Raw genomic sequence first — 22,437 nt, 5'->3', positions numbered from 1 at the left:
CTGAGCTGGCCCTCTGGTCATACTGCTAATGGGGGAGCCCTGCTCTGCAAGGAGCAGTACTTCTGCTGCTGCTTCCACTAAAATTGCTGTCAAACACCACTGGTTCACCCTGAATTCTTTCCTGGGTGAAGCCAAGAAGCCTCCTGGGCTAAGCCTGAATTTTGTCTCTTGTCTACCCTGCACTACAATCAGTCTCCAGTATTCATCCTGCAAAACTGAAACTCTGTGCCCATTAAGCAACTTCTTCTCATTCCTCTCGCCTCTAGCCACTGGCAATCACTATTCTTATTTTCTGTCTTTATGAATTTGAGTATTATAGGTACCTTATGTAAGTGGAATCATGTAGTGTTTGTCTTTTTATGAACTACCTTAATATACTTAGCATAACGTCCTCACAGTCATCTATGTTGTAGCATGTGTCAGAATTTCCTTGCTTTTTAAGGTTAATGTTTCACTGTATATATAGACCATGTTTTGTTTATCTGTTGATGGACACTTTGGTTGCTCCCGACTTTCGGCTATTGTGAATAGTGCTGCTGTGAACACGGGTGTACAAGTATCTCTTTTGAGATCCTGCTTTGTTTTGGTCCACTAACAGTTTATCTTTTATATGCGATACATACACATTGTAAAAATGAGTGAACCAACCAGATGGAACAGATGTACACTGTAAAGTGATATGTTGAAAGTTCTTAGTTTGAGCTCATTCTATTCACCAAATACAGCTGTTGTTAAGACTTCGATATGTAACCTTGCAAATGTGTTTTTATGCACTTTCAGGTGCATATAAAAATATGTGAAAAATATTTAATACGATTTATATGTAGTTTAATAACACTTGAGATCATATGCATACTGTTCTGTTGATAACCTAATGCATTGTGAATATTATTCATGTAAATACAAATATATTTTGTTCTTAACTTCTACTTGGTATTCTGACTTACTTAACTTCTACCTGGTATTCTGACTTACCATAACTTTTTAGAAATCAAAATCAGTTTTTAAATTATTTAAAAGTAATGCATGCATGCAGCAGAATCTCCAAATAGGATAGAATGATACGAAGAAAACTAAGATCTTTTTCCCCCATCCCCAAGCTTTCTAGAGGCAGCCACTGTTAATAGTTGTTTATTTCTTGCTTGCTTTATTTTAAATGATAAATTATACTAAAGAGTCAGTATTAACTATGGGACATATTTCATTTGAAAGCTTTGAGAAAATTAGTGCATTTATTCTTCCTTACATTTTCTTTTTCCAGTTAAATATATTATTATTTTTACAAGATAAGGATTAGAGCAGGGGTGTCCAGTCATTTGGCTTCCCTGGGCCACAATGGAAGAAGAAGAATTGTCTTGGGCCATATATAATATACACTAATGATAGGTGATGAGCTAGAAAACAAAATCGCAAAAAAATCTCATAATGTTTTAAGAATGTTTATGCAGGTTGGACAAGCTAGGATTAGAGTTTGCAACTACGTGATTTTGAACCTCCTTTTTTCCTGTAGGATGATTTTTAAAATTGAAAAACAATTACTGTTATGACTATTATTTACTTATATTTATGAGGAAGGAAATAATACTGTCATTTAACTTGTTATTAAAGGAGAATCTCCCACTGTCAGTGACAAGGGTATACTGTTGTTTTCTTTTTCACTTGTTACTTCTGGTTCATACTCAGCTGCCACTGTTTCTTCCAGGTCGTGTTGTGTTTTCTTTGTTGTTTTGCCACTTTACCTTTTCAGTTTTTTCATATAAGTAAAATTTCAGTTCTTGAATGTCTGAAAATGCCTTTATTTTGACTCAGTGGCAAATCTGACTTGACAGCAGTGCTTTCAAGCTTTTTCATGTCGTAAATTGATAGAAAATGGTAATCTTTGTGTGGTGGATGAGACTGCTTGTAGCAAAGGCCTCTGGCTGCTCACCTGGTAACCTGTTGGTAGCATGCATTTGGGGAAGCTTTGGGTTATAGGAATATACGTTCAAGGTACTTTTTTCTTTTTTTGAGTTGGAGTCTCACTCCGTCACCCAGGCTGGAGTGCAGTGGCTCCATCTTGGCTCACTGCAACTTCCGCCTCCGGGTTCAAGCGATTCTTCTGCCTCAGCCTCCCGAGTGCCTGGGACTACAGGTGTGTGCCACCACGCCCAGCTAATTTTTGTATTTTTAATAGAGACGTGGTTTCATCATATTGGCCAGGCTGGTCTCGAACTCCTGACCTGGTGATCTGTCCACCTTGGCCTCCCAAAGTGCTGGGATTGCAGGCGTGAGCCACCGCACCTGGCTGTTTCAAGGTATTTTTCTTGTAGAACTTGGTGGACACTGCTATATTGTCTTCTAGCACCTGTTACTTCTGATTAGAAGATGAGTGTTAAGGTGATCCTGGTTTTGTTCTGGAAGCTTTCTTGGCATTCTGAAATTTTACTGGTGAGACTCCAGTTACTACAGGTATTTTTAATTTGTTTTTAATGTTACTCTGTTGAGTGTTTTCAGTTTGACAACTGAATCATTCTTCAGCTCTTGGAAAGTTTAACTTGCCCCTTCCATCTCTCTCTGTTCTCCACTTTTGCATGTCTTACGTTGTAAGTAAATGTTGGACTCTCTAGATTGTCAAATTTTCTTTTTCTTTTTTTTTTTAACTATATTTTTGGGTTTTTTTGCTTTACTTTCTGGGAAACGTTTATATTCTAGGCAAATGAATTTGGTGTTTAGTTATGTCCCATTTTATTACACAGTTGAGATTTTTATGCTTTAATTTTTTTTTTTCCCCCCGAGATGGAGTCTTGCTTTGTCACCCAGGCTGGAGTACAGTGGTGTGATCTCAGCTCACTGCAACCTCTACTTCCTGAGTTCAAGCGATTCTCCTGCCTCAGCCGCCCAAGTAGCTGCAGCTACAGGCGCGCGCCAGCACTCTCAGCTAATTTTTGTATTGTCTCTTTTTTCTTTTAGTAGAGACAGGGTTTCACCACGTTGGCCAGGCTGGTCTCGAACTTCTGACCTCAGCTGATCTGCCTGCCTCGGCCTCCCAAAGTGCTGGGATTGCAGGCATGAGCCACCACACCCGGCCAGTGCTTTACTAATTTTTAATAGCCATTGCTATTTGTTTTTTTCTTAAATGTGGCGTATTTTGTTTTTTAATCTTGCAGTGTGTTTTTTGAGTCCCTATGAGGATATTAATGAGAATTAAAATATGTTTGTCTGTTCGCTGATTTCTGTATGTTCCTCTTGCACCTTTTATACTATTAGGTTTTGGCAAATTTTTGGTGCATCTTGGTTAGTATTGTTAGTTAAAGTATGTTTCTGTTGCAGTATGTATATTGGTTCTTTTTCTATGAGGCTTCTCTCTTGAATAGTAGTTTTGGTGACAGGTTCTGTGAAATGGGGTCAGGTATGGACCAGCAGTACTCCTTCTAGGGAGTATGGGTGAGGAGTCAGCAGGCACATGGTACCCTGCTCTCTTGGGTTACTGTGGTGTCTTCAGTACTTCCAAGGAGCAGTGCTTTGGTATATTTCACTCAAATGGTGAGAGATCCCTTCCTCTTTCCCTCCTTTTTCTCCCTTTTTGCTTCCAGCCCCTTTTATTTCTCTTTCAGCATTAGAGGTCTAGTGTTGCCTTCATCTTTGTGCTGTACTGCTCTCTCCAACCTGGCTACTCTCACAGAAAGCCTTACCTGGCAACAATGCCCACTTTCCCCCTCTCCCTTTTTTTTTCTCCCAGACAGGGTCTTGCTCTGTCACCCAGGCTGGGAGTACAGTGATGTGATCATGGCTCACTCCAGCCTCAACCTCGAGGCTCAAGTGATCCTCTCACCTCAGCCTCCCAAGTAGCTGGGATCACAGGAGTGTGCCACCACCCCAACTAATTTTTACTTTTTATGGAGATGGAGTCATACCATGTTGCCCAGGCTGGCCTCACACTCCTGGGCTCAATCAGTTCTCCCACCTCGGCCTCTCAAAATGCCGAAATTGCAGGTGTTTGCCATTGCACCCAGCGAATGCCCACCTTTTATAGAGATTCCTTTTCTGGCTTTATCCTTACCTTTAAGCTGCCACCAATCAGCATCTCTGTTCACAGGGTCAGAGGATGGGGTCATCTGTCCAGAATGTGGGTAATGCAGTGCCCTGATGAAGTACCATCATTGTTTCCTTCTTGTAGTTGTGATTAGTATATAACTTGGAACTTCTCTAGTGTGGCCTTGAAAAGCCTTTCATGTCTTAAACGTGGGTTTTTTTGTCAGTCTGTTTTACTTTCAACCTGATCAAAATTCTTTAGAATTTATCATCATCCAGTGACATCTACTCGCTTTGCAACAGTGCTGTTGTTTCATTTTATCTTTGAGACAGGGTCTTGCTCTGTCATGCAGTTTGGAGTACAGTGGTATGATCACAGCTCACTGCAGCCCCAACCTCACAGGCTCAGTTGATCCTTCCACCTTAGCCTCCCTAGTAGCTAGGAGTACAGGTACCACCACCATTCATGGCTAATTTTTATTTTTTTCTGTAGAGTCGGGGTTTTGCCATGTTGCCCAGGCTGTTCTCAAACTCCTGGACTCAAGTAGTCCACCTGTCTCAGCCTCCCAAAGTGCTGGGATGACAGGCCTGAGCCGAGGACCCTGGCCTTTTATTTCATTTTAATTTAAATCTTTTCCCTTCATTTTGCGTGGGGCCTTGGGAAGGAGGAGCAGTAGATACATTTGTCTGCCTTGAACTGTAATTGGCTAATTTATGACTGTAAATGTTCCCAGACATGCCTCTCTTCTTAAAAAATGTTTGATTTTATTTTTAATTAATTAACTAATTCATGTATTTATTTTGAGACAGAGTCTCGAGTTCTGTTACCCAGTGGAGTGTGGTGGTATGAGCACAGCTCACTGCCTCAACCTCATGGGCTTAATCAGTTGATCTTCCTGCCTCAGCCTCCCGAGTAACCGGGACTACAGGCACACACCACCACGCCCTGACGATTTTTGTATTTTTTGTAAAGATGAGGTTTTGCCATGTTGCCCAGGCTGGTCTCGAATTCCTGGGCTCAAGCAATCCCCCGTCTTGGCCTCCCAAAGTGCTGGGATTACAGGCGCAAGCCACCATGCCATGCCGGGCCATGTCTTTCTCTAAGGTACATTACTTCTTTAGTATATAGTGCCTTAGAAGAATTAATCAGTCATCTTTCCCCCCCCATAACATTTTAATTTTAATGTATGCCATAATGCTTAAAGCTGTTTTCTGGGCTTATGGCCTGTTATAGAAGTAAGCATGCATAGTCATTGTCATATTGCTTGCCGTCACTTGCTGAGTGCTTTTTCTGTATATAAGGTTATACGTGTGAGTGAGGTCATCTTTTTTGAGAGACCGTATATATTGGAGGATATTTATCTAATCACTCATGACAACGGTCAGAAAACTCATAATATTGAGTAATTGTCTTTAGTGAAGCATAGTAAAGCAGGGAAACATTTTTGAAAATGATTTAGTAAAAGCCCTGGGGGAAGAGAGTAAAAGACAGGACCAGCCAGTTCATTTTTTCTTCTTCGCCGTATTATGGTTGTACACTGTAGTTTTAGGGCACACTTCAGCAGGGGAGAAATATGGTACTTATGCCCCAAATGCCTTTTCATGTGACGCCTTTTAAACCCTGTTTATCTATTTTTGATAATGTAGGACATTATGATAGATTTTTACTACTCCAATGTTTTAAACATCAGGATTTTGATTAAAAATTGAGAGGATGGCCAGGCGTGGTGGCTCATGCCCACGATCCCAGCACTTTGGGAGGCCTAGGCGGGTGGATCACTTGAGGTCAGGAGTTCAAGACCAGTCTGGCCAACGTGGTGAAACCCTGTCTCTACTAAAAGTACAGAAATTAGCTGGGTGTAGTGGCTGGCGCCTGCTTGCCACTTGGAGGCTACTTGGGAGGCTGAGGCAGGAGAATCACTTGAATCCGGGAGACGGAGGTTGCAGTGAGCCGAGATCCGTACTTTTGCACTCCAGCCTGGGCAATAAGAGGAAAAAAAAAATTGAGAGGTATGTCAGTGCATACAACAGACAGTGCTTTTGTCTATGGCTTTTGGACTTTTGGACTGTGATTCACAGGTACCTATCTCTGCCTTATACATGTGTGTATATAAAACTGAAATTAGTTTCATGAAGCAATATTTGCCTTTCATGTGATGCACTCGTATTAAATTCATTAAAAAAGGATATGGCTCACTAAATTTATTTTACGATCCACAAACTGATTGTGACCTGCAGTTTGAAAACCCCTGATTTTAGATACTGATCTATTGGAGTAAAGGGAAGATGGAGAGATTTGGATTCCAGTAGATCTTGGTTCGTCTGGCTTAACAGTTTTAGGTAATTTCCTCATTGGGAAGGAATAAAAAGCACTCTGGGGTTAATCCGAGAAGGCCAATTCCAGCCCTCTGGGATTAACCTCCAGAGTGCTTTTTATTTACATGGTTTAAAAAAAAAACAGCCTTCCACCAGAATGTAAATGCCAGTAGAGCAGGAATCTTGTCTTTGTTGGAAGATGTCAGTGATTTCATTACAGTTGCTTATTTTTGCAGCTGTAAGCTGGAAATAATATCTTGTTAGCTTGGTTGTGATCACTGGAAATATATACAAAGTGGGCCAGGTGCGGTGGCTCACGCCTGTAATACCAGCACTTTGGGAGGCCGAGGCGGGCGGATCACGAGGTCAGGAGATCGAGACCATCCTGGCTAACATGGTGAAACGCCGTCTCTACTAAAAATACAAAAATTAGCCAGGCGTGGTGGCGGGCGCCTGTAGTCCCAGCTACTCGGGAGGCTGAGGCAGGAGAATGGTGTGAACCCGGCTGGCGGAGCTTGCAGTGAGCCGAGATTGCACGACTGTACTCCAGCCTGGGCGACAGAGCAAGACTCCGTCTCTTAAAAAAAAAATACATACATATATATATATATATATATATATATATATATATATATATATATGTATACACACACACACACACACACACACACAGAGTGCGGCCTTGTGCGGTGGCTCACACCTGTAATCCCAGCACTTTTGGAGGCCGAGGTGGGTGGATTACCTGAGGTCAGGAGTTTGAAACCAGTCTGGCCAACGTGGCGAAACCCCATCTCTACTAAAAATACAAAAATTAGTCGGACGTGGTGGTGTGCACCTGTAACCCCAGCTACTCGGGAGGCTGAGGCAGGAGAATCTCTTGAACCTGGAGACAGAGGTTGCAGTGAGCAGAGATGGCATCATTGCACTCCAGCCTGAGTGACAGCACTGCACTCCAGCCTGAGTGACAGAGCAAGACGCCGTCTCAAAACACACACACACAGACACACACACAGACACACACACACACACACACAGCCTTGCAGTGCCAGGAGTGATACAGATATTTAATAATTGGAAGGCTTTTATTATCCATCATTATTTTTACTGTATACCCGTTAGTTTATTAAGTAGGCTCTGAGATTCAACTTTATTCTTGCTTTTAGAGAGACAACATGTTATTACTAGAGACGTATAGATATAACTGCCATACAGGGTGAGGTGGATGTTAGTAGAGTATGTAAGAGGTATTGTAACTTAGAGGAGGCAGTCAGGGTAGGGAAATTACAGATGTATTCCGTATTTAAAAATTTTAAGGAACAGAGTCTCTTAAATTACCACCAGCTAAATGGGGTATTTCTTTAAGGAAACATAAGGGGGAAAGACCGGAATTATCTTAAAGCTGCAAAGCCAAGTGTTTCAGGAAATTGTAGTACTGTTTTGCCTATAACTGATTGTTTTCACTTTCTGGCTTCATGGATAATTGGCATGTGTTATAGAATGTAACACATTCTTAGGGACTGAATTATCATGTATTCCCCTTAGTAGCAACAGTACTAGGCTTCCAAGTCTAGTGTTCTGCCATAATTCTGTTTTCTCTCTTTCTCTCTGCTCCCAATAGACCAGGCTTTCCTCTGATTTATGGTTCCTGCTTGTTGCTATGTGACTTGTGGTGACCTCTTTCATACTCTTGGTTCCTTGACTCCAGGTTTTTTGTTTGCAAGCAACAGAATCAGTCTAGTTATCTGAAGCAAAAAACGGGAAAGATGGGGAAGTTCATTGAATTAACAAAAACAGGAATAAAGAATCTAGGTTGTAGACATCACAGTGGGCTGACTTGGCAGTGGTTAAGAATCAGTTTGAATTATTTTCCTGTATAATTTCTCTCTCTTTACATTCACGTATCTAGGAGACTGTCTGATTTGCCTAGCTGGAGTTATGTTCCAGTCCTTTGCCCGGGGAAGAAAAGGGCACTGTGATTGAAAACCCCAAGACTGTGCAGAAGAAGCTGTGTAGTTTCTCTAAAGCAAAAGCGGAAGACTAAAAACAACAGACGTCCAATATATAGTGTTAACATGGAGTGTTACTTTTTTTTTTTTTTTTTTTGAGATAGGAGTCTCACTCTTTCGCCCAGGTTGGTGTGCAGTGGCGCGATCTTGGCTCACTGCAACCTCTGTTTCACCCTCCCGAGTGGCTGGGCTTACAGGTGTGTGCCACCATGCCCAGCTAATTTTTGTATTTTTAGCAGAGATGGGGTTTCACCATGTTGGCCAGGCTGGTCTCGAACTCCTGACCTCAAATGATCCATCTGCCTCCGCCTCTCAAAGTGTTGGCATTACAGGTGTGAGCCACCACACCTAGTGCATAGAGTGTTACTTCTGTGCATGTATGCGTATATTATTATGTAGAATAACATGTAGTGTTACTTCTGTGTGTCTGCATATGAGTGTATTATTATAGTCCAACTCCAGAGAGAAGATATGTATGACTGTTAATCATGCCTAGTATAGATTGTGTTTATTGGGCACACACCTGGTGTAAAAAGTGAGCAGAACTTTGATGCAATGTGCAATGAAAGCTCAGGATGTATATCTTGAAACTATGCCATATTGTCAGGGGGTGGTAAATACAGATAATGTCAATCCAAGGATTGTGGATTCGTTTATTTATTTTATTTATTTATTTTTTATTTTTTGAGACAGAGTTTTGCTCTTGTTGCCCAGGCTGGAGTGCAGTGGCGCAATCTTAGCTCACTGCAGCCTCTGCCTCCCAGGTTCAAGCTATTCTTGTGCCTCAGCCTCCTGAGTAGCTGGGATTACAGATGTGCGCCACCATGCCCGGCTAGTTTTTTGTATTTTTAGTAGAGATGGGGTTTGGCCATGCTGGCCAGGCTGGTCTCAAACTCCTGACAGGTAATCCTCCTGCCTTGGCTTCTGAAAGTGCTGGGATTCCAGGCGTGAGCCACCGCACCTGGCCGATTCATTTATTTTAAGTAGTGAAATTATATGATTGTATTTATCTCAGAGCATTCATTCTGGAGGGTAGTATATGTATTGTTGAGGTGAGGGTGAAGGGCGGTGTGAGCAGTTACAGGCATCAAGAACAGTAAGAAAGCTATTGGGTGGAAATCTGAATTCATAAGGCTCTCTGTGATCTGCCCCTGCCTGCCTCTGATTTAATTTCCTGCCATTTGTTTATTGCTTGCCACTCTGTAGCCACCCTTACTTTTGTGGGAATCAAACTTGTTCTTTCCTTAGAGCCTATCCCTGGTTGTCACTTTGTTGGATTCTTGTCATTTGTACCTCATTTCATGTTCCCCATCTCCTTTCCTGGCCATGTTCTCTAATCCCATTTTGTCTCTATGACTTTCCACTATCGTATCATTCGGTTTTATTTTTTTAACCACTGTTATTACAATCTGTTAACCTTTCTTTCCCCCCATCTCTGTTAACAGTGGCAGTTGGACAAGGTTTGATTGCTAAAGAAAAGTCACATGATCCAAAGTAACAGTGCTCATCAATCTGTGGTTTATTGCTGAAAAACGATACTTAAAGCAAGTGCTTTCAAGTTAGGTTGCACATCACAAGCAAAGGGTGCCTCCCATCAGTGGACCTGAAGGAGCTAAGTGTGAGGTTCAATTGTCCCCCTTCTGTAGGGCCATATGGATATCTTTCTTTCTTGGATCAGGATCACTGATGTGCGCAGAGAACACCTTGGAACCAGGGATCCCATAGTGGAATCTCAGTGGGGCTTATATTCCTGCTGGCCACATAGGCATATTTTTGCTACATAACCAGCCTTAATGGCAGAAACCTCAAGGGGCTCACGAAAACCAGGTGCAAACCATCAGTCTCACTGTTAACAGTAAACAATGCTGACAAGCCGGTACAGACAGGCCATAGCTCTTGGGATTCATGGTTTCAGAGCAACATTATTAATCAGTATGTTTGGTACTTTGACCAGGTATCAGTGCCATGCCATTACCTCTCTTATTTCAGGAATGTACACAGGACAGTTCCAGCCTTCTGGGGTTAACAATCAGAGTGCTTTGTGTTTCCTTTTTTTTTTTTTTTTTTAAACTTCCACTAGAATGTAAATGCCAGTAGAGCAGGAATCTTGTCTTTATTGGAAGATGTGATGAATTCGTTAATGTGTTTTAAGATTTGACAAAGGATATTCAGGGCCGGGTATGGTGGCTCACGCCTGTGATCCTAGCACTTTGGGAGACCAAGGAGAGTGGATCACTCGAGGCCAGGAGTTCAAGACCAGCCTGGCCAACATGGTGAAACCCTGTCTCTACTGAGAATACAAAAATTAGCCGGGCATGGTGGTACATGCCTGTAATTTGGGAGGCTGAGGCGGGAGAATCACTTGAACCTGAGAAGCGGAGCTTGCAGTGAGCCGAGATCACGCCACTGCACTCCAGCCTGGGCAACGGAGTGAGACTCTGTCTCAAAAAAAAAAAAAAAAAAGATATTCAGAATGACAATGTGTTTTTTTAATTTAGTTTTTTTTTGTTTTCTCAACTTTTAGGTGTGGGAATAAGTATCTTTGGAAGACCAGGCACTTTATGCAGTATTGAGCTCAGGAGGCAGTGAGTGTTAAGGAATGGGTGTAAAAGTGAGTGTGATTCTCTTTCCCATCTTGCTATTTCTTTATTTTTCCTGGACTCTCTCTTAAGGGTCTTTATGATTAGGCAAATAGCTTTTGACTTTTTTTGTGTGTGTTGCTATGTGTCTTTGAATGAAGAGTTAGGCATTCAGTATGTTCTCTTTGAAGTGTCTCCTACGCTTGACATGGATTCCCGATTTGCTGAAGAAGTTCTCAATATATTCTCTGAAACCTAGTTTCTGTTGCCATTGTGCTTGACATGGATTCCCGATTTGCTGAAGAAGTTCTCAATATATTCTCTGAAACCTAGTTTCTGTTGCCATTGTGCTACTGACTGCGTGATAAGCCTCAGTACGTTTTAAAATTTTTTATTTTAGAGACAGGGTCTTGCTATGTTGCCCAGACTGGTCTCTAACTCCCTTGTCTCAAACAATCCTCTTAACCTCAGCCTCCCAAGCAGCTGGGACTATAGGTGCAAGCCTCTGTGTCCGGCTCAGTAATTTAACCAATTTCACAGTACCTCTAAACCCCAAATATGGTGGCCTTTTCTTTCAAAACATTTCTAGATGGACCTTTTCTGAGGAGTTAACAATTGTTTTAGTCTGGGCTTTGATAATCTCTTTACAGGTCTGTTTTTGCCTCCCTTTCAGGTAATTATTTTTTTAACTTGTTAACTTGTTTTGAACACTTGAGCATTTTATATGGTTCAAAATTTAAAAAGTACAAAAGTGTATACAGCAAAAAACCTTTCCACATCTGTCCCCTAGCCACTTGGTTCACCTCTCTGGAGTGACGGGTATTATTAGTTTTTTATGTGTCCTTCCAGAGATGATGTTACTATATACAGAAAAGTACGTAATATGCTGTCTCCCAATGTATTTCCCAAAAACGTTGTAGAATATTATATGCACTGCTTTTATTGCCTAACTGTCTTTCCTGGTGATCATTCCCAAATCGATATCTGAAGAGTTTCTTGTTTTGTTTTTGTTGTTGTTGTTGTTTTTGACTGAATAATACTTTATTATAATTTTACCAGGCCCCTGTTGATGGAGAATTGGTTGTTTCTTTTTATAATGCAGCAATGAATAACATTGTATATAAGTTATTTTGCATGTGTGCAAACGTTTTGATGAATAAGTTCCCCACAGTAGAATTTCACGGTCAAAGGATATGTGCATTTTTATTGTATTTATTTATTCTTTTTCTTTCTTTCTTTTTTTTTTTTTTGAGATGGAGTCTCAGTCTGTCGCCCAGGCTGGAGTGCAGTGGCGTGATCTCGGCTCACTGCAACCTCCGCCTCCTGGGTTCAAGCGATTCTCCAGCCTCCATCTCCTGAGTAGCTTGGACTACAGGCGCACGCCACTACGCCCAGCTAATTGTTGTATTTTTAGTACAGACACGGGTTTGGCGTGTTGGCCAGGCTGGTCTTAAACTCCTGTCCTCAGGTGATCTGCCTGCCTCGGCCTCCCAAAGTGCTGGGATTACAGGCGTGAGCCACTGCACCCTGCTGGATATGTGCATTTTTAAATTTCACTGCCAGGTTGTCTTCATGGAGGTTGTAGTTATTGATATTTCTACCACCAGTGTGTGTTATAACACTATAGAGTGTTATAAAACTTCTTATCTTTGCCAAACTGGTGGATAAAGAACGGTATCTTGTACTTTTTTTTTAAGATATGCTTTTCATTATGATATGCAGAATACATTAAAAGGTACAGACTACAGATGGTGAAGTTCACAAATTGGACAAACCTGTGTAACCACTATACCAGTCATTACTCTATCCCCAGCCTCTGGAAAGGTAACCATTATCCTGACTTAAAGTATCTATTCATTATTCTTGTGTTTCATATAAACATACAGTGTGTGCTCTTGTTTATGGCTTGTTTTTCTCAGCATTATAAGAGATTTATTTTACTGAGATTCATCCAAATCGTATCAGAAGTTCTCAGTGAAATCTTAATTTGCATTTCTCTTGCAAGGAGGTTGAGCACTTTTTAATGTTTTAAGCTTTAAAATTTTTATTTTCTGTAAGCTGTTTACATTCTGTATCCTTGAGTAGGGAATCATTTTCTTCTGGATCTCGTTACATGTAAAGGAAGCTGATTGTCTCAGATATGAGTTGTAATTGTTTTCTTCATCTAGTCCTGCTTTTGATTTTGCATATGATAGTTCTTGCCATAAAGGATTTTTAAAAAAAGTATAATACAATTTTTTGTGGCCATTTACCTTTTTTCTCAATTACTTGTTTTTTTCCTGTGGGCCTACTGTCTTTTGAGCATCCCATAGCCCTTAGATTACACTTTAATGTCATCAAAGATTAAAGTGCAAAAACCACCTCTAAAAATGACCGTGCTGAACATGAAATTTGAATCACGTGTAAGTGGAGTTATAGAAGAAATAGCTGATGGGGAGAGTGTTGCGAGAATCTGCAGCTGGAGAAACTTAGTGAAGGTGAATTTATGGACATAAATGAGGAAAGTGGCTGTGATGAAAAAGACGATGGCCTCATAGGAAGTGTCACTGGCCAAAAACTTCACAATAAAGGAACTCTATCAGAGATATTTCATGACATTCAACATTCAAGGATAAAATGTTAGAAGCTTTAGAGAGTTGTGTGAAAATGCCCCAAGAAATTTCCCCAAGAAATAGAAAAGATATTTGCTCTGTGTCATAAGTGGCCAAGTTTGGTGGCTCAGGCTGGGCACGGTGGCTCACGCCTGTAATCCCAGCACTTTCGGAGGACGACGGGGGCAGATTGCTTGAGCTCAGGAGTTCTCAATCAGCCTGGGCAACATGGCAAAACCCCATCTCTACTAAAAATACAAAAATTAACCAGGCGTGGTGGGATGCATCTGTTGTCCTAGCTACTTGGGGGACTGAGGTGAGATGATCGCGTGAGCTTGAGAGATCCAGGCTGCAGGGAGCTGTGTTTGTGCCACTGCACTCCAGCCTGGATGACAGAGAAAGACCCTGTCTCCAAAAAAGCAGAAAAGATGCTTGCTCTCTGTGTCATAAGTTATATGAGAACAAAAGTTGCTATTCAAAGTTCTCAATAAGCCATTTACCAAGAAATAAAACAGTTCACATCGGTTCTAATGTTTTAAATTACAGTGTACTAAAAGAATGATTTTTTTTTTGTCTTTTTTTCCTGAGACGGAGTCTTGTTCTGTCACCCAGGCTGAAGTGCAGTGGTGTGATCTTGGCTTACTGCAGCCTCCACCTCCTGGGTCTAGGTGATTCTCCTGCCTCAGCCTCCCGAGTAGCCAGGACTATAGGTGTGCACCACCACGCCCAACTAATTTTTGCATTTTAGTAGAGATGGGGGTTTCACCATGTTGGCCAGGCTGGTCTCGAACTCCTGACCTCAAGTGATCTGCTTGCTTCGGACTCCCAAAGTGCTGGGATTACAGGCGTGAGCCACTGCGCCCGGCCCGTTTTACAATGTTTTGATTATACGTTGATAACTGATAGTAAATGTTTTTAATATCTTGACCAAGTTTTTAAAGTAATGGAACAATTCACACTGATTAAGATCACCTTGTTCAGTTTCAAATCTTGGTGATTTTTACATTCCCACACTACCATCCAAAATGTGAACTGCCGGTATATGTTTAAACAAAAAACCTCCCAAACTCCTTAAAGTGACTCAATAGTGTTTCAGACAGTGAATTCTTCCTTGTCTCTTCTAACTTTCAGGTCCATTGAAGATTAAATAGAACTGCATGTTTGATACCCTTTTCTTGTACTTAGGACTTGATCTGCAGCTGTTATAGATCTCAGGTCTTCCCTAAATTGCCAGATGTTGATACTAGTAGTCTAATGAGCTGTGTGAAGAATAGTATACAAGATAGCAAGTAACAACAATGATTGCAATCCAAAGTGTTTCTTGAGCACCTGCTATACCAGATACTGTGTTTTTAGGTTTTGGAGATAAATAACATTAGGTCCCCTGTGTTCTTTTTTTCTTCACACTCTATAAAGGGCAGACAGATGAAAGGATAGTAGAAGGAGTTATATCGTAGAAGAATTTTTAATGATACTGAGAATTACAGATAATTTTAAACACTTTTAAGATGTTGCAATTCTGTGCTGTTTTATATGATGTTAGAGATACCATAAAAGAAATGACTCAAGGGACTTGGGAACTAGATATACAAGTTGAGCTTCTGTATGTAGGTCAGGTGGCAGTATGTTGAGATACATAGAATAACACAAAGGGTTTTTTAATGTAATAATACATTATGGAAAGAATTATACTTGGGCAGCAGGTTCCACATTGATTATAATCTGTGGCAGATTACTCTTTAAAACAATCAAACTTTTGTATTGTTGAACGCATTTTATGAGAAGAGAACTGTAGGTTAGTTCACCAACTGAATGTTGTTTTTGCTGAAACTGGGTTTTGCTAAAACTGCCATTCTAATGCTCTTATTCCTTAAGCCTAAACTTAGATGGTTAAATATTACAACCGTACATTATGTACAGTCACTTGAAAAGGATTTGATTTGGGCATTTCTCTGTAAAAGCTTGACTTGTGCCCTTTTTTTTTTTTTGGCTGAAAATGGGGGATGAAATCAAGGATATATTGATTTTAATTATTTGCTAAAGACATATTTATTGAATATTTATGGAGAGCCAGTGCCAAGAATTCTGAGGGATATGAAAATGCTTGTTAGTAGGCTACCATGGAACTTAGTTTAGTAGGTGAGAAAGTCTTGAATGTGAATAGCTGAACAAGTAATACAAGTTGGCAGTATTTTATGGGTGTTACAAGTGATGACTTAGGTTCAAAGGAATAAGCAGTTATTTCTAGCTGGAGGAATCAGAAGGCTTCATGGATGTAGGACTTGAAAGGCATCTTATGGACATATTAGTAGAAGATGTACTAATTGGAGCAAACAACACTGGGAAAGTCCTGATGATTTAAAGCTTCTCTGATGTATCTTAATTTTATTACATAACCGATGTTTAACAAATGATTGGATTATTAATATTACCATTTTTTGGTCTTAAAAAGAATATTGTTGTGTTAGATGATTCAGCATAGTATTGTAGTTCTCAAAGTGTGATCCTTGGCAGCATCAACATCTCCTGCTAACTTGTTGGAAATGCAGATTCTTGGCTGAATCCCATATCTAGCCGTTGAGTCAGAAAGTGGTGTGGGATTCAGCACCCTGTGCTTTAACAGGTCTTATTTTGACAGAGCCACTTCTACTTAATGACTACCTTTTTAAAAATGCGGTAACTGATGCTCACTTTGGCAGCACATATGTTAAAATTGGAATGATACAAAGATTAGCATGTCCCCTGCACAAGGATGACACACAGTTTTACAAAGTGTTTCATATTTTTTATTACGCACTGCATGCCTGTATCAAAATGTCTTGTGTACTTCATAAATATATACACCTACTGTGTACTCCAAAAAATTAAAAACAAAAGAAATGTGGTATCTGTATCAACTGTATTGGCTAATAATGATTAATAGCCCATTCCATAATTTGATTAAAAGTCATTCCTTAGCTTACTATTTGAAATATAAAATCTTTGTCAGTTTGGAGGGTAATTTTTTTACTTGGAAATTTGAAAACTTGGAAATTGAATAAATAAATGAGCTATTTTAATTGTCTTAGTGAATCATAAAGAAAATTGCCAGCACTTCTCCATGGCACGTCAAGTATACTGGCTGTTTTATTGCCTCCTAGAATTTAAAAATGAGTTATTGTAGTCGTTGGTTATATATATATTCATATATGAAACATGTCCTGATGTATATTTTTCATTCTTGTGAAATAAAAAAGACACTTGTCAGTTTTATACTAAATGTTTTTTAAAATCCTGTTAATTCATTATTTCTAATTAAATGCTAATAATTGAGGAACGGCCAGACTGTTTTCCAAAGGACTGCAGCATTTTGCATTTCCACCAGCAGTGAATGAGGGTTTCAGTTTCTCATCTTTCTCATATCCTTGTCAACCCTTATCACTGTTTTTTTGTTGATTGCCATCCTAATGGCACCTCATTGTGATTTTGTTCTGCATTTCTCCTGATAGCTGGTGATGTTGAGCGTATTTTCATATGCTTATTGGCCGTTTGTATTTTACTCTTTGGGGTATCTGTTCAGATTTCAAAATTGGCTTGTCTTTTATTGAGTTGTAGTATTTCATATATTCTGGATGCAAATGTTATGATTCATATCTGTGATATGATTTACACAACTTTTGTCCTGTTCTGTGGGTTTTCACTTTCTTGATGTTGTCTTTTGAAATGAAAATGTTTTACATTTCTATGATCTCAGTTTATTGTTTTTTTCTTTTGTTTCTTGTACTCTTGGTGGCATATCTATGAAACCATTGCCTAATCCAAGGTCATAAAGATTGACCTGTATGTTTTCTTCTAAGTGTTTCAGAGTTTTAGCTCTTAGTTCTATAACCCAGTTTGTGATAATTTTTTATATGGTGTGAAGTAGGGTTCTAAATTCATTTCTTTTGCATTTAGCTGTTCAGTTGTCGTAACACCATTTGTCAGCCTCAGTTACAGTGACAGATTTTTATGAATTTTTATCTAGACTTTCTAGATCTTACTAGCAGTTGAGATTTTGAGTTTTACTATTCTCATTGCATTGTCAATTAAGAGAATAAACTTATTAAGTATTGAAGAAAAAGATGCCGTGAGTTAAGCACTGTGTTCCCTTTTAGGAGTCTTTAAGGAGAAACTGGAATAGGTTTTTGAAATTGATAGGTCACACATTTTTTAAATGAGAATGAGAGAATGGGAGAAAGGCCTTCCAGTAGCTGAAGATTTTCATTTAAAGCTGAGGAGTTTGTTTATTTAGCCCTATAGCACGTAAGAAATAGTTAATAGTTAGACATATTTGAATCATAGAGAAGAATGATTTTTCAAATAATTACTAATAGAACTGTCTAATAACTTGGTAAAGTAGTGCCAATTATTGGAGGAGCTCAAGTGAGGTTGAATGATGGGTCATTAAAAGTACAGAAATGATTTCTGCATTGAAAACAAAGGTTGTTGACAGAGTTCTGGGATTTCTAGTTAGTCATGTGACTATGCTAGGATTTCCATTTTCTTTCACATTTGTGAAGGTTTTCTGCTTGGGATCCATCCTTCCCCAGACTTCTGTCAAGTTATTGGAAGGAAAGTGAGGGAAAACAGGAGGTATTGTCTTGCAGGATTAAATGATAGAAATACTCCAGTTTTTGATTAGCTAATGTTATTATGCCTTACCCTGAAAATTGGTCTCATCGCTTGATCTAGTTCTTTCTGGCTTCTTTAGTTCTTTGTTCTTTAAGTAACAGTGAAGAGTGAGAATGAGAGACACTAGCAACAGTGACTGTTGAGATGAGAACTAAACATTAAAGTATCCTCTAACATCAAATTTGTGCATTGTTGTGGTTTGTAGATTGTGAATTGAAGAAAGCTGCATGAATTGTAGGAAAATGTAAATCGTGATAGTGTAAATGGAATTTCTTTGTCATCCTTTCATGAAAATAAAATTTACTGATTCAGGGAATTATGTTCTTATTTTGTAAATGATCCACTTGAGTAGATTGTTCAAAATGTACTCAGGAGAAAATGTACTAGTGCGTATTTGTACTTTTTGATGGGTATGTTTGAATCATATGTTTTAAGGTTTGGAAAAATCTGATTATATAATCTGATTGAGGCAAATGAATGAATTCAGTCACCTGGTTTTCAGTCAGAATATTTTGAGAATCTTTTAGCTATAATGCTCTGAAACTTCAAAGTAAAATATTAAAGCAGAATTGGAAGCATGAGAAAATTAGGTATCTTTTTTCTTTGAAGTGAGATTTTTGGAATAATCTTTTAAATAGGAAAACCTTTTTGAGCTTAGCCTCTTCCATGTTTAAAATATTTATCTTGTTTGCCCAATTGTAGGGGTTTTCTCTGTTAAAGATTTGAGCATAGTCTGAATCTCTTTGGTTGGAAATAATTGGCTCCAAATGAAAGCTTCTTATCAGTGATGTTGGTGTAGGTATGCTCAATGAGTGATGTAAATCAATTAATATGAAGATGTTATATAACTTTTTAAGGCTTGAATTTTAAACTTTTGTTAATGTATGTACTTTATGATTAGGAAGGTAAATACTGTTTTTAGTATGATATGAGTTCTCTCTTGAAGTTACTGTACATTTTTAAAAAAACTATTACAATATACTAATCAAGATTTTCTTTTTGTCTGTTTTTGAATGGACCACTTAAAGATTGCTGCTGTTCACAGGTTTCTCTGCAGATTTCTTATAGGAGTTAGCAAAAGACTTCTATTTCCCCTCCTCTCAATTAAAAGATACAAGACACATGTGTGCGACACAAGACAAAATGTGGGGAGAATATTGCTCATGATGTTTGGTTTTCTGTGGCTGACTTTTTTCATAATGTTTAACAGTTCTATTACTTGAATTTAGAGAGGGATTCATTGTGCTAAAAAGTACCTCCACATTCAACTGTAATAAGCCACATTATTAAAACACTGTTGGAGTTGGAAGATAAAGATACTGTTGATGCTCATTGTTTGGTATTTGTGGATGAGCCTGAAACGACTAATATTTAATCATGAGTCTTTTCTGCACTTATGTGATCTTCTGTGCTTTGATTTGCAGCTATCTCCACTGTTTAAAGAACCTGTTGCTCTTTGCAACTGCCTTATTTAGCCCTATCTGCTAGAAGCCATTGATCCAAGAACTCTGCTTTTCCTCACACTCGACTTTAATAACATTATGAAAGCTAGCCCAGTAAAACTGAATTTCCAACAATGTGGCTTCAGTTGTTGGTGGACTTGCAGTATTTTAGGTCAGATATCTTTCTTCAAGTGCACAAGAGGTATAGAGTAAAATTTGACATCTGTGTTAGAGGCAGATCTCATGATAATGTTAAGGGATTTCGGTCATTACTTTGCAATTTTCAGGGTACATGCTGAACTTCTTGATGCTCTTCTCTTAGTTCTATTACATCACCTCTTCTATGACCCCAATCAGGCGTGACATTCTTAACTGAATTCCTAGATGCTTTGACACAGGCTTACAGTGTTTTTTTTTTTTTTTATCTGTCTTATATAAGTTATGTATTAGAGGAGGAGGGAATATTTTAATTGTTAGGTACTCTATAGTACCTAACAATGTATTCCATTTAGTAAACACAGTCTTAAGTAATAAGTAAATTTGACAGTAATGCTCAGAAGCAGCATTTTGGTGAATTAATCAACATTGTAGAAATTATTGATTAATGTACTTTTAATTAATAGAATAAAACGTTGCTTATTAATACTTTAGATTTCAACACTTCATGGTTTCACCTTCACATCAGTTAATTGGAATGCTGGGATCATCCTAAATGTATTTATTTGTAGGATTGGGATGAGGGTTGCTCTTGCATTGTGATTCTTTCAATCCCATTCTCTCTAGGACTTCTAGTAATTCTAGGTTTCCAGTAATTAATGGCTCTTTTTATTAGTTGGAAGTTTCATGGATTTTTTTTTTTAAATCTTTAGCTAAGAACATTCTAAACCACTTGCAGTATCTAAACGTGTCAGACATGAAGGTAGCCTTAATGGAAACAGGCTTGCCTTCTGTAAACCTCACAAGGAACAGCCTCGATGGGATTGTGAGTTTCATTTCCCATGTGCCAAAAAGAGGCGGAGCTCAGAGCCAATGATGAAAGATGTTACTTAATCCTTTTAGACTACAAAATTTATGTTAATTACCAGATAAGACCTTTTCCCTCAGGGAGTTTAGTATTTAAAGAGAACGTTAATGCATGTAATTTATAATCTGCATGAATTTAGTCTGGCTAAAAAAATTGCACATTGTTTGGAAGGGAGGCTAATGTTTGAAAGAAAGATGCGTGTGAAGTCAAATTGGGACTTATTTCTAGAGGAGATAGGCTATGGATAGGCTATGGAAGGGAAGAAAAAGATTGACATCCAGCAAGATTTCTCAATGGACTTTATTTTTAAATTTTTATTATGACAAATTTGAAAATAATAAAAGAATAATGAATTACCGTATCCTGTTAGCTTCAACAGTTATCTGCATATGTTGAATTTAGTTGTCACATTTCTTGAGACTTTAATCTGGCATAGTTCCTCAGCCATTCTGTCTTTTATGACATCGATAGTTTTAAAGAACATTCCTCAGTTTATGTTTGTTTCCTGAGGACAAGATTTGGATTATGTTTAACTGTGATTTTATAGGAATGAAAATGTTAGAATTCTATGACAAGCCGTAGGTTATAATGGAACTAATTCTGGACCAAGAATCAGGAGTCCTGAGTCCTGGCTCTTAGAAAGGAATTGTAGTATGCAGTATTTAAAGAATGTAGACTTTGGATTAGTGACACAGCTTTAAATCTCAGCTCTTTTGTGTAGCTGTATAATAATTGTATAAATTTAAGCAAATTGGTTAACATTTTAGGGCCATGTATAAAATATGACCAGTAAATTCCTGTCTTTTCAAGTTGTTAGGAGTAAATGAGACAACATGAAGTACAAAGATGCTACACTATGTGATAGTGATTAAAATACTGTAAATTTGAGCTGGTCCGAAGGTAGTGAGTTAACTCAATTGATTATGTAGTCAGTAACAGATCGAACTTGTTCTATTCTGTTGCCCCCCTTTTCACTATTGCACTCGACTAGTCTAAAAATAAAAAAAGTAAATTTGGGAAAGAGGAAAATCAGTGAGTTAAAGCTGCGAAAAGGAAGTTTGAGTGGAAAAGATTGCACGTGACCTTTGATTTTAAGGATGGATTGACTTTGGATAAAATATCTAGGTGTAGAGTATCCACTGGAAAATCTTAAGTGTAAGGGAACGTAGTCAGATTAGTGTGGGAAATAATGTTAGAGTGAGGAAGTTAGAAGACTCTTGGGAATTAGAGTTTGAAGGTCTGGGTTGTAGTCCAGCCTTTGCCATTAGCTGGTTGTATGATTTGGGGTAAGTTATTTAACCTGTCTAGACCTTGTTCTCTAACACTATAAAATGACTGGTATGTTATCAGCATTCTTTAGAAACATCCTGGTAAGACAGAGTAGTAAGAGAAAGCTTTCATCAGGAAGGAGGTCATCTGCATCTTGAAAGGTAGACAGCCTCTAGATAGGAGAAGAGGAAAAGGGAAAGCCATTAGAACAGGAATGCCGAATTAAAGAAGGCATAACTGGAGGTAAAGACCTATACTATCACAGGGAGGAGTGCATGTTGGAAAGTAATGAGAAGTTAAGGTTATCAATTCTGTGCTCCAGAAGTAGGCTCTATATAGTTATGTTTGCTGTTTAGAGATGATGCAGTTGGAAAATGGCCCTCTTATTTAAATAAAGGTTGGTGAGACACCTGCTGGAGTATAACTAGATTCACCTTACGCAGTATTTTTAGATGAGCGAGTCCCCAAGGGCTTTCTGTTAGCAAAAAGGAGGATATCCCAACTCTTTCTCCCTGAAATTTGAAGTAACTAATACCAAGGGCAGTGGTT

At 38.8% G+C, this 22,437-nt stretch overlaps 1 protein-coding gene and 1 pseudogene across 14 annotated transcripts in view; both read left to right on the top strand.

Annotated features, from left to right (window-relative positions):
* The window catches only part of TBL1XR1 (TBL1X/Y related 1), a 182,457-nt gene that overhangs the window by 59,494 nt on the left and 100,526 nt on the right, over positions 1-22,437 (top strand). For 4 of the 14 annotated variants that reach the window (XM_047448949.1, XM_047448942.1, NM_001374329.1 and 1 more), the window contains exon 2: positions 10,858-10,944. The exons of the other annotated variants lie outside the window; for them this stretch is intronic. Coding sequence is in view for 2 of the 4 variants with exons in the window: in XM_047448942.1 (XP_047304898.1) it covers positions 10,933-10,944 (12 nt within the window). In the remaining 2 variants the exon portion in view is untranslated. The remainder of the gene's footprint in view (positions 1-10,857; positions 10,945-22,437) is intronic. 14 annotated transcript variants of the gene reach the window in all.
* Positions 16,187-16,290, top strand: RNU6-681P (RNA, U6 small nuclear 681, pseudogene; annotated as a pseudogene).

Source organism: Homo sapiens, chromosome 3 (assembly GCF_000001405.40).
Source record: "Homo sapiens chromosome 3, GRCh38.p14 Primary Assembly".
Taxonomy (NCBI): domain Eukaryota; kingdom Metazoa; phylum Chordata; class Mammalia; order Primates; family Hominidae; genus Homo; species Homo sapiens.
This window is presented reverse-complemented; position numbering and strand designations above follow the sequence as displayed.